The following is an 18,493-nucleotide window of genomic DNA, read 5'->3' on the forward strand; positions in this document are numbered from 1 at the left end:
AAGAAACAATTGAAAAGCAATTTTGTGCTAAGCTGTGAGGTACAGACTTTTACTTCAATGGGAGTTCAGAGAGGAGAGAGTATAGGTACGGTATTTCTGTGGTAGGACCTGATTGGCAGGATTTGGAAACATCAAGGGATGGATAGGGGACCTTGAAAGCAGGAGAAACAATCATAGGTCATAGCCTACAAAAGAGCAAGAAGAAGGCTAATGTCTTCCTCTTTTTAGAGTAAGCTCTTTGGGAAAGAGTGGGATTCTTTTTGAAAAGAGTGGTGGGGAGGCTTTTAAATTGTGGATGGTTATTCAAGGCTGCAAAGTACCTCTCATTGTTCTTATTATTTTAAATTAACTAGATAGAGTGCCAAGAAGTGTATGTCACTCGAATGCAAATAACTGATTTTATGAGTGTTTCAATATTAAAATGTGCCTTCTCCTAAAGAGGTTCCCTTGTAACCCAAGCTGAGCCAAATTGACTACTAGTGATTTTGCATTCCTTACCTCCATGGCAGATCTTCCCTTCTGCAAACCAGCATTTTGCATCTGCTCTAGGGGGCCTGCCACCAGGGAAGTGAATAGGGGTCCCTCCGAAACGTAGCAGCTCCATTTCCATGTCCACAGTGTAGGTGCTATGGAGTTCCCATTCTTTCAAGTTGGTGTCCAGGATTACATATTCTGAAATTCCATTTCCATTTGAATCTGTCCTCATCAACTGGTTGAATCCATGGAACTGCATGTTTCTGGAATGCTGAACCAGGCTGGCAGCACCAGCCTGTCCATTTTCTTTCATAGCATTATTCATGGCTTGTGCGATAAAGTAAATTGAATTGTAGATGGTTCCAAACAACGGTGAAACCTATTTTTAAAAATTACAATTATCTTGAGCCCTGGTCGCCCTAGAGCGATCTCAGAGTATATTCCAAGCCTGTGTTCATTATTATGGTCTGCACATCTGAGTGAAGTAGAGCTATGAAGACCCAGAGGAAAAAAATTGTTTCTAAGGACTTGCTTGGTTTCTCCCCTGAATTTTTCTGTTTTTTTTTCCCCCAGGCTGTCACATCTTTAAATATATCAAATATGACAATTTTATGAGCAAACCAAGTCATACATAATATATTTTTATGCTCCTAAACTAAGAAAATGATTTGGAATTATAAAGGGCACTTAAGAAAACAAGTATAGAATAGACAAGGGGAGTTCAAAGTAAATATGCCAGGTTAATTACTGGTGCACTATGCATGGTAAAATCATTTTGCTGGCACTACTAGAGTGGTAGGTGTGTGTGGAAAGACTGTAAATAATGTGTCTCCACAGTCCATGTCTGTATCCTGTCTTAGTTCAAAATGGCTATTTTTCTAGACACATGCTCCCCAGAGAAAGTGAACATTAGAATTCAGTTTTAAACACATACCTACACATACACACATGTATGCACACGCAGACATCCACCCTGACACATACGCACCCAGCTATCTAGAGCCAAAGTTTGTAGAGTATAGAGAATGTGAATTTTAGTCAGAAAACCTATTGGTGTGCAAAGTGGCAAAGCTTCAACAAGAAGCCACTTTAAAACAGTAAGACTGCTAAGGTGGATAGCATAACTATGCCTGCTAAATAAATATGGTAAAAGCAACAATGTTTTTGTATACTATGCCCAGATGCACTGCCCATTAACCTTGTAAGTTTATTTTTGGATAAAATCTTGTATCTTTTTTTCCAAAAAGGTAGAGAGGATGAGCAAACAATTCCTCCCTTCTCTGTACCTCCCCCGACATGGCCCCTCACACACGCGGCCATGGCTTCATGGTTTTCCATGTCACTTCACTTCTAGGATGGAGTTCAAGAAAGCTATGGTCATGCCATTTTACTGAGCATCAGGGAAAGCTGATACTTGCTACTTTGGTTTCACAAGATCTAGAAAGCTAAGCTCCTGTAACAACCTTCATGTGAAAAAAAAGGGCTTAAAATTGAGTGAATCATTTTTTATTAGAAATAAAAGTCAAGATGCAGAGAGGTGTAGCAGATAGCAAGACACTGCCATGTCTTGTTAATGTAGAGTGGGAGTTTTCAACACCAGCTGCACATTAGAATTACCTGAAGAGTGTCAAAAATAGCAATGCCAAACCGAACCCAGACCAACAAAAAGAGATGCTTTTAGTTTGATACCCCAGTAATCAGCATTATTAAAAGCTCCTCAAAGATTCTAATATGCATGCAGGATTTTAAGACATCAGTATAGAAGATGATACCCTGTCCTGTGATCAGTGCCTAATGCCAGAATGTTTGAGAAAGTCATTTATCAGCTTTCTCTGTGCTTCCATTTCTTCCTCTGTGAAATGAGAATACAGAATCATGAATGTCTAAACTTTAGAAGTCATCTTGTCTAACTATCTTACTTTATAAGTAAGAAAGGGAGACACAGAGAAGTTACATGACCTGTCAAGTTCACCTACCTGAGCATAAAATAAGGAGTAAAATCCAGGTCTCCTGTTTCTTAGTTTAGCATTCTTGATTGGAATATATGTCCCCTGTGGTCCCTTCTGGCTCTGAACTCCTGTGAAAATTCCTAATACTTGGTATAGTTCAGGGACAAAATTTAGCTTGTAGACATTTTTATAGCCTGTTTAAGGGTTCTTCATCTCGCTGACGTCTCTCTTCATACTGGAGTGCCCCACAGCTCAGTCCTTGGTCCTCTTCTCTGTCCACACTAACTTCCTTGGTGATCTCTTTTGCTCTCATGGCCTTAAGTACTAGATCTATGCCATAACTCTCAGATTCATACTTCCAATTCAGACCTATATCCTAAATTCCAGATTGATATAGTCAATGGCCTACTTTTATATCTCCACTTGGATGTTAAAAATCAACATACCCAATGTTGAACTCATGATATTCACCCCAAATCCTCCTGATCCATCTACAACGAGTCTTGTCAGTCTACGTTAATAGCTACTCCATTCTTCTAGTTGTTCAGGCCAAAAGCCTTGCCCCACATAACAGAGTTAACTACTAGCAGAGCAGAAATCAATACCTCAGTCTCCAGAGGGTTTTATTCCAATGATCTTCCTTCATCACCCTGTCTCAAGATGTACTCTGTAGAAACAGATCATGAATGGATGGCATGTGCTGCCACCAAGGTATCCACACTTAGTTGCCTAGCACATGCTGAGCTCCCTTAAGAGGTTTTCACTAATTCCCTCTCCTGACATTCTTGGATGCTGTATTTGATTGTCTTTGTAATTTCTGCAAAACCCTGACTGTTTTCTGGGGGCTTTGGTAGGTTATGACAATAAGTGAAGGATGGAAAGTGGAGTATAAAATCAATACTAGTAAAACAAATAAGTGAAAACACACACACACACACAGGGCAGCAAGCTCCTGAAAGCAAACAGAATGCTAGTGTTCTGTTTTGAAAGGCACAGAGCCTTCTGAGAAAGAAACTGCATCTACCTACAGCCAAAAGTGAAGATTAAAACTCAAAAACAACATTCCCACCTCTGAGTTGATCCAACACACTGGGTTTTCAGCTGGCCAGGCTGTGCTGGTCTTTGTGCTCTGATTGACCCATTGGAGCTGACTGACAGAAACTCCCCAAGACGACTGAAACCTGAAGCCTGTTCTTCAGGATTCTCTAGCCTAGACAACACATGTACTCACAGCCACAAAAGTATGGTAGAGAGACTTATAGCATAGCTATAGCAACAGCATTGACTTGCAAAAGAGGGGCTGTCACGATGGTCCACTGTCACTTCAAGGCCTTGGAGTTGTGCTGTAGTTGGTTTGAGTTCCTGCTTCACCCATGGTGCCCTTCAGCAAAGGGAATTGCCTCTTCCCAAACATCAAGGGCACACAATGTTAGCATCACTCACAAAAGGTCTCTAGTTGCACTTGCCACAAATAACGAGAAAGAGAAAAGGTAAAGGGTGGAACACAGGAAGAAGAGGCATTCTCTACAGGCCTCTATCCAGCTTCTCACTACAGCTCCAAAAAAGTAAGACAGAATTGGTAAGAACTTCTGTCAGAGAGATGACCTTGTTGACATCACAGTCCAAAATGGTGAGACCACTGATGATTAAGCCCATTGTTTTTGCCTACTGTATAGACCTGAACCTGAAAGAATTAGTTATGAATGATAATTAAAACATATCATTGGTTTTTATTCTGTTACTTTAGATAGCTCTACCTGAGGCTTTTAAAGTTTTTATCCAAGAGAATAAGGTCTGGATCAGGAACAGTAATATATGAATTTGTTCAGCATAATGGTTCGTGCTGTTTTTAAGTTGACTACCATCAGTTCAGATTTACTGTGTCTGAGAAGACACAAAACCGCCTTCCAAAGAATTTTATCCTCAGAAGTGTACATTAAAACATGCCTAGCTTGAAAAGCCATCACTTGAAGGACAAAATGGCACATCAATTTTGAACAAAAAGTCAGGCACATGCACAGATCAAGAAACCAAAGGATAATTGAATTCTTGTTATTAACGGCAGTACCTCCAATAATGCATGATCTCAACCCTTGGGCATAGTCAAGAGATGGATAAAAGACCAATGTGTTTGATGTGATGCACATCAACACAAAACCCTTATTTTGTATAGAATGGGGTAGAAAGACAATCTTAGCCACTGTGAGCTGCAGGCAACCTTTTCTGACAACCTTGTTTGGTGGGCCCCATTCTGGAATGTTCCAGTCCTAACCACATCTGCTGCAGCCTAGAATTCCCCTGCCAGGCACCCATATTTAGGGTAATAGAAAACAATAGCAATAAAGAGCATAAGGTCCCCAAGCTTTCTAAGAAATCCTGAGGATTTCCTTTGCTTAATCAAATAACTGTACATTTGGAAAAATATCCAAAATATGTGTTCCAGCCATATACATTTGTGGCCAATAGAATTTAACTGAAAACAAGCATTGGGAATACAATGAAAAGGAAGAATGTAGGCATCAAACCCTAATTCAGAATTCTAATTTGGCCAAAATATAAAGGTACAAAGTTATAATCCTTGCCCAATCATCCTGAGACTAAATTAAGAAGTTCATCACTGGTGTCCCCACCCCTCAGATCTCCCTATTCTGATTTATTGTTCTCTTTTCACAGGTTCTCATAAGGCCCTAGTACCTCCTATATTACAGGAAAACAATTCAATAAATCTATTCAAATCAAAGTATTAGTCACTTAGCAATGTTACTTTGCCTGAGTAAAGCATTGGCATTAGATATTATTAGCACAGTGGAATAAAACACAACAAGCCTAATGTGTGGTTAAATGATCAGGATCTGGTAGCAGACTTGGGTTGGAATCCCAGCTCTGCCACTTCCCAGCTGTATGACCTTGAGCAAGTTACCTTGAGCCTTAGTTTCCTCAACCACAAAATGTAGATATTAATATCTAATTTGTAGGTGTTGTCTGAGGATCCCATTGGATCATTTATGTAAACGACCTGGTACAGAGTAAACACTGAATATACAACAGCTGCTATTATTTGTATTTCAGAAGAGGAGCACAGGGCTCTGGAAACATTATCCTGGAAGTATAATGTTCAAGTCCCTTGTCCTAGTTTTGAACTGGTGATCAAGAAGTACTAGAGTCCCAATTTTAGATCCAATTTCCTTAGCACCTGAAATGGAAAAACTGTTCTCCTTCATTGGGGGAAAGATCTCATTTCTATTTTGATCTCTATTATATCCCCTGCAGAGTGCCTGACCCACAATAATAATAATAACCACAACTTTAATAATAATAATGGCTAACATTAATTGAGGGGTTATCAGGTGCCAGGCAAACTATTTAGTGTGTTAATTCATTTAATCCTCACAAGAACCCTATTAGTTAGGTACTATTGTTATTTTCAATTTTAAAAATGAGGAAAAGAAGACATGGAGAGCTTAAGTAAACTTAAGGCAGTCTGCCTTCAAAACCCATGATCTTAACCTTCATATTAAATCTGAGCTTAATAAATACTTACTAACTTAATTAATAGGCTTTGGTGAACTCACCAGTAAAATAATATCACATGCACCCTTTTGTGACTTATTTTTTCCTTCATGACTTTCCATAGACTTCCTGATTAAAAATAATGAAATCAAGATTTTTTTTTACTTCACTCTCTTTCTCCTCTCAAACATCACTCTCAAACAAAGAGAACAAGGAACAGAAACACTAAATCTCCATATCTAATGGTATTAGGAAACATCTGTAACCCTGTACCACAGAATCTGAAAATAAAAAGTTGCTACAAACATGGCAACTGATTTAGCAAAGTGGGGAACAGTCAAACCTAAGTGCTTGCAGAGGGAATTACTGATAAGCAACAAGCAGATCTGCCCCTTAAGAATCCTGGAAAGAGTAATTACAACCACCAAGTACTGTAGAAGTGAAGGTGAGGCCAAACACTAAAAGAGCGAGGGCTCTTTGAATGTCTGTGTAATAAACATGTAGACATCCCCCATACCCACCTCTACCAGGAGGTGCAGACGTCTATAGGAAACAGATTAAATTGATTCAGAGCAGCTCCAGAGCTGGGGCACTAGACGAAAAGGAAGTTGGAAATGAGGTGGAGCACAAAAAAACAGTGATGAAGTTAAAGTTTTCATGCTTAATGGTGAGAATCCCAGTCTCCTCCCAACATTGCTTCCGGAATACTGACAGCTATGATTATGACTCCCAAGAAGATTAGAAGACTCTTCTCTGAAGAAAAAGACTAGCTCAAGAGCCAAGGCCTACAGATATTGACCAAAAGAAGCAAACAAAAAGCAACTGTTTAGCCAATTGCCCTGTACTGAAGCCCACTTGTCAACATATCCATCATGCACATAAACCTTCAAATCTGCAGACATCTAAGGAAAACTTTCAACATGAAATAAAAACATGAAAAATTAGGAACTGAGGAAAAAACGGATAAAATAGAGAGCAGAAGAAAACTTCAAAAAAACTATAATGAGTACCTCAAGAAAATAGGAAAAATACTATATTGATAACAACAAGAATGAACTCTTGGAAATTAAAAATATAACTAAATCATTCTTAAGAATTAGTAAAAGTGTTAGAACACAAAGATGAGAAACTCTCCCAGAAAGGAAAACTAAAAACAAAAATATGGACCATATAAGATAAATAATAAGACAATTAAAAGATCAACCAAGGACATCTTATATCTTATATATCTTATAGTATTTCCAGAGAGAAGAAAGACAATGTTGTTGAAGAAATTATCAAATAAACAATAGAAGAAAATTTCTCAGAAGGAATCAGCTTCTAGATTGAAAGGCTCCACCAATACAGCATATCATGTGTCAAAGACTCATACATCATCATGAAATTTCATAGCATCAGAAATAAACAGAACATTTTAAAAGTTTCTGAGAGGACAAAGAGGAATGGAAATAGGTTGTATCAAAAGATTAGGAATAAGAATGACATTGGTGTTCTCAACACCAACAGTGGAAATTGGAAGACAATGTGACATGTCTTCAAAGGACTGAGGGAAAATGATTTCTACCCTAGATTTGTATACTCATTCAAACTATCAATCAATAGTGAAGATGAAATAATGACTTTTCGGACATGCAAAATCTCAAAAATTTACCTCCTGTAAAAAGCTACTACAGGATGTGCTCCACAAAAATGACAGATTAAACCAAGAATATAGGTCATGAGATTCATAAAACATAGATCCTGCAGAGAAGAGAAAGAAAGAGGCGTTTAAGAATTATGAAAATAGAAAACTAGCATAATATTAATAGCTGTGCAGCAGCCTTAGGGAGCAAAATGTTTAGATTGGAATAGGAAGACAGAGAGCCCCAGCAAAAACAAATGAAATTCATAAGGTATTTAATAGGCTTTACTATGCATAAAATTGTTTTGACAGGATTTTACAGCCTTATCAGAAAGTATGGAAAGACTTAGACATTCAAATTAAGGTAAACAAATTAAAAATTGAAGTAATTATTAACCCCGGTAAAAATGAAGTTACATGTGACAAGAATTATAACCATATTATTTCATGTGGATTAGCAATAAATGATATTTACATAGTTACTATGTTAAAAATACTAAATATGGATTTAACTATAAATTGGGACATAACCATATTTAAGGTTTAAAGGAGAGTAAGGAAGTACAAAAAGACTAAGAGTGCTCCTCAACTATAATAGTAATACAACAAATAATGCTCAAAATTGATTAATCGAGAGTCACCAGTAGCAGCATAGCATTTAGAAACATAGAAGTAAATACCAGAATAAAGAGCTAAAAAAATATGAAAGTGGTTGCTTCTGATGAAGGGAAGAAAGGAGGCCTTATAGACTGCTTTGTTATTGATATAAACCTTTTAGCATTTCTTGACTTTTAAAACTATGTGTTTGTATCGCTTTGATAGCTTTTTGTTCATTTCATTTTTTACTTGTTAAAGAAGCAAGGGTACAAATTAAGAGATGTTGCAGACCACTGCTGTAGGCAATGCTCCTTGTACATAGAAATCTCTATTTCATTGAAAGTTATTGGGCAAGGGAGAAATACAGCCATCTTGTTAATGCATTTGCTTAACCATTTATTATCTGTCTCTCTCACTAAAATCTAAGGTCTATAAGGGTGGCAATGAGTGATGTGCTAGTAAGTGTTTGACAACAGCTATATGGAGAGGGAAAAAAAACTCTTATTTGTAGCATTTGCCTGTTTCTGCGGTGTAACTACTACTATCATGCCTGATTTCAAGCTACCAATTGATGTCACTGAATGGAGAGCTGGGAAAAGATGCACAGAATCAACTTTTCTGGACTGGCTCTAACATACCATTGCTAGAAACCCTGTCTGTCTTGTATAGTGTTCTATCTTGGGTTCAACATATTGCCTAGCACATCAGAGGTGCTCAATAAATAGTTGTTGACCTGTTGACCAAATAGGGAACAAACAACAGAAGCCCAGGGATAGGCAAATATCAAACTACATAATTTGATCTGAGAATATGCCATTTATAATTTTGAAAGCTGGAAATATTGAGAGACTCTCTGCCAGTAATCAGAAAACTTCAAGAGAGTAGGAAGCTAAAGATTGTAACTTAGATGCTAGGTCACCACCAATCAATAAGGTCATCCTAGCCTCAAAGGAGAAAAAGTGGAAAGAAAGGTAGCTGTGAGCCAGGCACTCTGACAGTCACTTTTTACATGTTACTTTGTTTAATTTTCACAGTAGTCCTAGAAGATATAGCTCACTTACCCATTTTACACATAGAGAAACTGAGACTCAAATGTCTAAGTAACTTGCCGAAGGGCACACAGCTAGTAAAAGTGAGAGCTTAACATGCAGTTTCTGCTATACTGGCTGCCTTCTAAAGTACCTTTGAGCAAGATAATTTAAGGAAAATTGGGGTTTTGTTTATCAGAGACATGAAGATAATTATCTCACCCTTTTATCATTCTTCAGTTATGAAGGTCCAGACTGGGCACCTGCAAACTGAGGGGTACAAATGCATCCAAACAGGCTTTTTCATAAGCTCTGGATTCTTTGTTGTAGCTATTCTATTTCCTTGTGTAAAGCAGAGTGCAGGCTGCCTAGCAACCAAGCTAATGGCGTCTTTTTTTTGCCTTAATTACCTTATGTTTTCCACAAGCTCAAAAGGATTGATGCAAATATCAAGAGAAGAAGGTCTGAGTTTTTATATCAAAATACCTGTTCATATATATGAACAATATACATACACATACATACATGTGCACACACACACACACATACACCCTCTCCTTCCTTCCTTTGATCCTTTGATTAAAATAGAAATTTGACTTTAATTGTATCTATGTGATGCCATATCATTGGCTAAAAAGTACAAAAAGTTACCATCTTGTTGCTTGCCTATAAACACATCAAACAACTGGTTTGACCGACCATTTTTAGCAATTTGAGTTTTGCAATTCTTGACTAAACTGACCAGTTGTTTTCAGTTATGTGTGTGTGTGTGCATGTGTGTGTCTCCTAAAAGACAGTAATACTTATTATAAACTTATCAGTAACAATAAAGTCCAAATCCAGCATTGTTAATATCTCTGTTATTAATTTTTTTATTAGAACAAGAATCAGCAAAATATTTGATATAAATCCTCCGAGCAGAAAGAGATACATAAACCTAAATTTCATTTGAATCACTATTCAGACAGAGAAGCAGCCCACAGAATGATGAAATAAAGGACAGATAAAAAAGAATATGAATATCAGACACAATCAACTGCCTACCTAAGTCTTCTTTCTTGCTAACAGAATCTCAATTTTGTTCACATTTTTCCAGCAGCTATATATTTTGTTCACACTTTTCAATCACAGTTGTCACATTCCTCCTTCCAGATTATTGGTTTAGGCATGGGCATGGGACACAATCGTGACAAACAAGGTATGGGAAGAAGTCTACTTGGGGAGATTCTGGGAAAGATTTCCTCACTCTTTTTTTTTTTTTTTTTTTTTGGAGATGGAGTCTTGCTCTGTCGCCCAGGCTGGAGTGCAGTGGCGCCATCTCCGCTCACTGCAAGCTCTGCCTCCTGGGTTCACGCCATTCTCCTGCCTCAGCCTCCCGAGTAGCTGGGACTACAGGCGCCCGCCACCACGCCCGGCTAACTTTTTGTAGTTTTAGTAGAGATGGGGTTTCACCGTGTTAGCCAGGATGGTCTCGATCTCCTGACCTCGTGATCCACCCGCCTCAGCCTCCCAAAGTGCTGGGATTACAGGCGTGAGCCACCATGCCCGGCCGATTTCCTCACTCTTAAAAAGAGACACAAGGGAAAGACAGTCTCTACTTTCACCTCTGGACATTGCCACCCGTATGTGATGTCTGGAACTGTGGCAGCCACCTTGGGACCATAAGAGGAACCAGCTCATGAGGGCAAGCTTAGCATGCTATGGCTTGTAAAGTGGAAAGATGAACATGTTTCATTGATGACATCATTGACTGCTGAATTAACCAACCCTGAAGCCCTATCTTCAAATTTTGAAAAAGAATTATTACTTAAACCATTTTGTATTGAGCTATTTCTTACAGCTGGAAGCAATATGACTAATGCAGTATTCTAGCAAATGCCAGAGCTTTTAAACTTATGTGTATGTTGTTCTAAGTACTTTTGAAAATGTCTGCTTTCTACATCTGACCTCCAGTGTACAGAAACGTCCCTCTGTATTTTTTCCAATCTAAATGGCTTCTTTTGTCTCCCCATCTTCCTCTCATATTCCTCGTCTTCTTTGTATTCATCCTCTTTGTTTTTGTCTTTGCTCTCCATTGTTTTCTCTACTTTCTTCCCCTCCTCACTCCTTTTTCTTTCTCTAAGCCTTCAGTGGCTATGATTGGAATCTGAAATATGCCTATACATACATTTATCTACACACATATAAATACTATTTCTTGTATATCAGAAGGGAGGACTTCTTCCCCATTCCAAGTGGCCTGTCTTCACCCACTTACTCATTCCTCCCCACAAAGGAAAAATGAATTAATCTGACTGGTTAGTTTGGAAGGAGAAGTAAGTATGTGTAGCTCAGCCCCTCCTGTCTTCTTTCTCTTGGGAGCAGACTACCTAAAAGAAGCAAATGCTCTGCTGTTCCTCTCCAGACTACACATTTTAAAAAAGACCTGCCCTCATGGGGCAGGACTGCAGTGGTCCAGCAATGCCATTGGCCAGATGGAGAAGTTTGTTTAATCCTTGGGTTCAGTATTGGGAAGCTCAAATGCCTACAGGTAGAAGCCGCATCCTCCAATACCAGTGTTATCAAAAATAAAGGAAATAGTTTCTTATATACTAGCTCTTTTGCCTTATTGTTAAATTAATTCAGAACTTACACCACAAACAGGACTTATTTTTATTAGGCTCCCTTGAACAGCACCAGTATATATTAAAGTTTTGTTTATCTGTTCTTAAATACATTTATTCTTCCTGACTATATAATGTCATCGTGGGCTGCTTAAAGATAAAAGAACAAAATCTCAAATAATATGCCTTTGTTTCACAAATGTTTTCAGCAAACTAAAGATGTTTTTAATTTGTCTGTGGTTGCCTGCCATTGACTGGGCCTCCTATGGAATTGAGACTGTTGGTCTGAAAATAATTTACCATGCTGATGTTTTAGGTTCTCAGCTCATGACAACCTATGAATGTGTACTTACTTGATCGAACTCCAGCTTCTCAGGAATTTCACCTCTTGCTGCTGCCTCTGTGAAGGCTTGATAGAAGGTCTTTTCTTGGGACTCCACTGTAATGGTCAACACTGCATCATAGGCTTCCCGGAGCTTTGGGTTGTTCCTTAGGACCCGGTAGGGGGTGTGCTTATAAGGTAAACTGTAGAGCAGGGCATCATAAGGAACAAAGACGTAGGTTCCATCAGTCATTTTCAGATCATGAGCACATTCCAAGAGATGCATCTGAGTCTCTCCCCCAATCAAAGCTGAATGCATACACATGATGATTACTGAAACCAACAAAGCAAGGAGGTTATGGAAGCAAACTGTTAGTAAAGCACAGTACCAAAAACTACAGAGAGGAAAAATAAATGTGTTCTAACCAATTTGTAAGTGGTTTCTTATGCCTCCAAGATAAGCAAGATGTTGTCCTGAGCTGAGGCTGAGGTATGCTCATGGACTCTGGATTGGGGATAGTGACAAGAGAGAGATGCCTACAGGCTGCAGAGCCTAATACTCAGACAGGAACAAGAACTAGTATAATCAATGGGGAGTAGCATAACAAAAGAGGCTTTAGGGTTGGAAAAATCAGCTTTACATCGTAACACCACCAGTTTTAACTGTGTACCCTTTTTTAAATTACTTAACCGCTCTCTGTCTCGTCCATAAAATGGAGATAACAATATATACTTATGGGATGGTAGTGATGATTGAAGAAAGGAGACAAGTCATTTACTTAGTACATAGCACACAATAAATAGTAGCTACTATATACCTAAGAATTAGAAGAGAGAATAGTAAGAGAGGATGGGAGATGTTACCACAGCCACTATTGCTTTTTATTGTCCATCTCCTACAAACATGCACTCTAATACATTTTGACCAATTGTTCTCATCCTTACCAAGGTCATTATAGACAATGAAAAGCACTAACTCACTCACCTATAAATGTTACTACAGGTTGAGTACTCCTTATACAAACTATTGAAGACCAGAGGTGCTTCAGACTTCAGACTTTTTTTAGATTTGGGATATTAAGTATAATATTTGCATTATACTTACCTGTTGAGCATCCCTAATCCAAAAATCTGAAATCTGAAATACTTTAATGAGTATTTCCTTTGAGAGTCATGTTGGTGCTCAAAAGTTTTCAATTTTGGAGCATTTCGGATTTCAGATTCTCAGATTAAGGACGTACTCTGTGTAATATTATGGGTGAGATGTCCAACTTTTTAAAATCTAACTTCCCTGTAATTGAAATTACTATGGACTCAATTTAATTCTTCCTAGACTTATGAAACTATGTTGTTTGGCAAGGTTATGCTAGAATAGAGTGGATTCAAGGGGGCCACGGTTGAAAAATGGCAGCTAGATCATGAGACTGAAAGTCTTATATCCAATTTTACCCTTGGCATGCTAAATAAGTTTAGTTTAAGCCCACTTGTGCTTCAGTGCCCACATCTTTAAAATGTAGATTCCAATGCATTTTACAGGTACACTGAGTAGTTTAATTAGATAATGCCTGGCAAGCATTCTGAGCTCCTTGAAGAAAGGCAAAGACTCTATTGCTACTGGTAAATATTAATTATACATGTTTATATGGAACCTTTAATCTCAAGAACTAAGGGTGCTTAACTACATTCAATGACTTGTCTTTGGCATTTGCATATTGTTTCATCTATTTTCAAACACCTTTTTACACTTGCTAAGCACCCCTAGAAAGTTTCCCTTTGAGCTAGAGCTGGTACCTTTTAGTTTTTAAAGTGTAACTAATAAGTTATGAAGTTTATTTAAACATACCACACACATATGCACACACCACAACATGACATGAGTTTTCAAATGACCATTAACTCCTTCAAAATAATTACGCTAAGAGGTTCTACATGTATTCTGATGTTCAGACCTTCCTTAGAATTCTCGAAGGATATCTTTGGAGCTAGTTCATGAGCCCCACAAGGAATTCAGCCTCACTTGTTTATAATCACACATTGTATCATGGGAAAATGGAGTGCCAGAGATGTTTGACAATGCAAGAGTTGGATTTAGAAAAAGAAAGTAGAACTGAAGACCTCTCACTCTCTACATTTGGCTGAACCATTAAAAGTAAATTAGTTTGGTCAAATTAGTATAGTCATAGGTCCATTGAGGCGGGGAAAATGAGTTTAGTCAGAGGCTTCGGTTGGCCAGTTTGTCCAACAGTATCCTCAGCAAGTAGATCAGTATTAGCATCTTTCTTCTGCAAATCAGAGATTGAGTGATTTGTTCAAGGTTACTCAACAGTGATACAATTTGATTTAATTTACTTAAAGGAATATTAAAATGACTTTACTGCATGGAAAATGTTAAATAGAACTAGTGTTTGGTGCTGATTGCAATACAGCAAATACTTTAACATACATTACACGTAGTAGGTGCTATGGTGATGTGCCATCAAGATACACACTTCAGCACTGAAGCACTCATTCCACCAGCTGCTGGGTGTGTTAGTAGCTGATAGGTGACTTTTCTCTGAGAGTTGGCCTCAGCTAAGGAAAGGCACCTCTCTCAAGGTTACATCCTCTCAGTAGTGTGCTGGGGTTCGCTTTTGCTGGTTCAACTTTCAGAGATTTTGTGAGCCAGTTAACATCATGTTATTAGCTTGAAATTGACCACTGTGGGAGTGATTACACTATGGAAATCAGCAAACACTACAAATCAAAACTTTTTTCCATCTGAAGATCTGACTGTTAAACAATTATTATTACACACTGTGCCCCTTTCTGTGGGTGAGACTGAACCTAATGACAATTCCACATGGAGGTAGAACAGCCCAGACTCCTTATCTCAATTCTGGACAACTCTGAAGGGTCATACCAGCTCTAGAGCTCCCCTCTAAGACTGGCTGAGGCCTTTGTTGTGGCTGCACTGCAGTTCAGTTCTCTCTGCCCAATCCTACTGTCTTCTCTTCCTCACAGGTGTTCTCCTTGAAAATACTCATTCAGTAAGCTTCCTGCACTCAAAGCTCCATCTAACAGGCTGCTTTCCAGGGAAACTGACTTGTGACACTGGATTAGAGCCCCCACCTTACCCTGAGATAATTTTTATCCTGGCACTTACAAGATTTATTGCTGTTATTTACCTATATCAGCTTCTACTACCAAACTGTGAGCTCCTTGAGGTCAGGAACTGTGTCTTATTTATTTCCATATCCTTGTACATATTATGCACACAATGAATGTTGTTTAGATGAATGTTTGTAAACTAACAGCCTCTTCAGGAAGAGAGCTTGTACACTTGGGTATTTTTTGTGGGTTCCTTGAGATATGAGATATGGGCATATATTGATTGTTAGGATGGAGGAACAATTGGAAGTGATATTTGCTGGGCAGGTAGATACTGCCATGCCTGTTGTTCATGCCTACTATCATTAACTATGCCCAGTACCTTACCCTCAACCCTAAATCTCTCCTCTTTATTTTTCTTTCATTGACCCATACTGACCATATTTCAAAGGGTCCGAATTTTTATAACTGAAAAGACCCTTTAAGACCAAGTAGGCCAACCTGTCCCCATCATTTTATAGAAGAAGAAATAGGAAACTCAACAGGGAATAATCACAGGCTCCTCTATTTTTTGCCTGGCAAGATCTTGCCATTGAACATGATTAAAGTAGAAAGCATAAATACTGAATTCAAACAACAGCATCTTAATTTAATAGATTGAGTGCTTCGTGAACAGGGATTTGTAGATACATCTGTTCTACAAGATAATTTTACTAAATAGTTTTATTATGTTAAAATTACATTCATTAAAATGGGATTTGACCTGTAAGTTGTTGTCAGGAAAGGATTAGTGTACAGAAACCTTAAATCCTAAACAAGGCCTGGGTCAACAGGTGGTCACTGAATAATACTAATTTGTAAGTTTCCATCCTATCAAGCTACTTTATAGTCAAAACAAGGACCAGGAAATACACCCTTCTGAGATCGCATCTCACCAGGATATGACACCAGCACTTTCTCTGAGCTACTTGAGCTGTCTAGTGTCTATGTCTTTATATTGTGGCACCAACCATAGCAGGCTGTCTAGGACCCTTTCTTTCACTAGCAGCAGGAAATGCCATGAAACTCCGGGAGAAGCCAATTTCCATGTCACTCAATTCCTATTTCTCTTCCTAAATTAAAATATTATATCAAATATTTTCTTGAGAGAGAGTAACTGTGTTTCTGAAAAGGCAAAGGTCACTTATTTCTCTCAGATTACTGGCTATGGTGTCCTCCATGGAGGAAACTGGGCCCAGTTTCACACCTTGCAAGATGGAAATGATTCCACTTGCTGCTGCTAAAGGAGTCCTTAGGAGCCATATTCATATTTGTGAGCCATCGATATTGCTCACAGTCCACAGAGACACCCCCCCATTCTACTGTCTTTGCTCTTTATTGTAACCCCTTTGTGATATTTCCTGCCACTGTCATTCATTTGAACAGTTGCTAACAGGGCGGGGAGGGGAGGCAGACCAGAGGAGGAGGGCAGCATGCAGATTTATCCCAAGTCTCATCTTCTCTCAGGATTCTTTCCTATCTGGCCATATTGTGAAAGAAGCACATTCCTACACTCTCCCTCTCAGTTTTCTCCCACCCAGCCTAATAAATGGCTGTGTAAGAGGAAGGTGGGAGGCTCTGGAAAGTGCATGTTTCCCAGGCCCCATCCCCAACTGTGACTCAGTGCAGGAGGCTCTCAAAGTAGACTTTTGGAACACTATACTAGGTGATGTGTGGCTATCTCTATCAGCTAAGGATACCCCACACGTTTTTGGCCATAAGTCCTGAAGCTACCACTTACTTAACTACCACTGGTGTTGAACTGGTCCAAGTAGCTCAGCATGATGGCACACAAATATAACATTCAAAGACTATTCCATCTGCATCAGACCATGTTTTTTTCCACACTCAAACTTGTATTGCAATTTGTACAGCAATGTTGCCTTAACATTGCTGCCCAGCTTGAGATAAGGTTTTATATTTCTCCATACCTTGAAACATATGTTTCCTCCTGTTTTTCCTAAACTGCTATGTACATAAGGCCTCTTAAATGCAAGAAGTCTAGATGTTTAGAGATTTCCTCTTGTGTCAAGCCTTCAATAATTTGATCATTAGTGATCATTTGCCATTCATGAAAGCCAGTTGTCCTCTTGCCATTTATATTTACTTACATTTGGTGTTACATTATACCAAATCCTATACCAAATTCCCTATTGATGCTAAGGCTCCTAGTCATAGTATTATCAGTATCACTGTTGTTATCAGTATAGGAAAACAGGGCTGACACCTGGTACGTTGAGGCACATAAAAGAATTGTATCTATGGGTCCAAAAGTTAAGAAAGAAAGGTGGAAGGGCTGAATTATATGCCACATATAGAACACAGGATCTCAAGTGAGTATGCTTCAGGAGGTAGTATAGTATTGGTCTATCAATAGACCAGTGGTTCTCAGTGTGGTCCGTGGACCAGCAGCAGCAGTGTCACCTGAGAATGTGCAGTATTAGAAATACAAATTCTTGGGCCCCACACCAGCATTCCTGAACCAGAAACTCAGGAGGAGGAACCCAACAATCTGTGTTTTAATAAGTCTTCCAGGGGATTCTGATGCCCACTGAGATTTGAGAGCCACTGCTTTAGACTACTCCGAATATATATCCTGGCTTTCTCATTCACCAGTTGTATGACATTGGGTAAGTTATTTAACCCCTTTTAGCTTCGGAAGTCTTATTCATAAAGTAGGTAAACAATAATTGCCCTTACTTAATAGGGGTGATGCAATAATTGGATGACATAGTCCATACAAAGCCCTTGAAAAATTACTAGCACATAGTAAATTCCCAATAAATATTAACTATTACCATTATTTTTATTGCTATCTTTTTCTTATATACAAGAATCTTCAATAAATGAGAAGAAGCCATTCTGTCCCAGGCAATAAGATAGCAATCAGGTACCTAATTTTGGAAGAGCAAGAGAAGGCTATTCCAATGGTGTCATATTTACTTAACATCATGTTGTAATGAAGCATTCCCAATTTGGAAGGATTGAAAGGAAATCCCAAATGGTCCAACATCCCGGTAAGCCCAGATTGAAAGGATTATACAATCAGCCAAGCACAGGGCTGATCAGCAAGAAGGCGAGGAGAAGAGAGGGCTTAGAATAGCCATTTGAAAAGTTCTCTAAAGAGCTGCAGGTAGGGCCTCCTGCTAACCTTCGCAGGAATTAGAAGAGGAACCCCTCCTGAATGAATGCAACCCTACAGGTGCCCTGCTTGGTAAGTAAATGACCTTTTGTGCCATTGGACAAAAACTTCCAACAGGGTT

At 38.7% G+C, this 18,493-nt stretch overlaps 1 protein-coding gene across 1 annotated transcript in view; it reads right to left on the reverse strand.

The window, feature by feature from the left end:
- GUCY2F (guanylate cyclase 2F, retinal) overlaps window positions 1-18,493 on the reverse strand; it is a 109,181-nt gene that overhangs the window by 80,101 nt on the left and 10,587 nt on the right. The window contains exons 3-4 of the mRNA NM_001522.3: window positions 12,136-12,437; window positions 499-853 (exon numbers count right to left, since the gene is read on the reverse strand). Of these exons, the coding sequence (NP_001513.2) occupies window positions 499-853; window positions 12,136-12,437 (657 nt within the window). The remainder of the gene's footprint in view (window positions 1-498; window positions 854-12,135; window positions 12,438-18,493) is intronic.

Source organism: Homo sapiens, chromosome X, assembly GCF_000001405.40.
Source record: "Homo sapiens chromosome X, GRCh38.p14 Primary Assembly".
Taxonomy (NCBI): domain Eukaryota; kingdom Metazoa; phylum Chordata; class Mammalia; order Primates; family Hominidae; genus Homo; species Homo sapiens.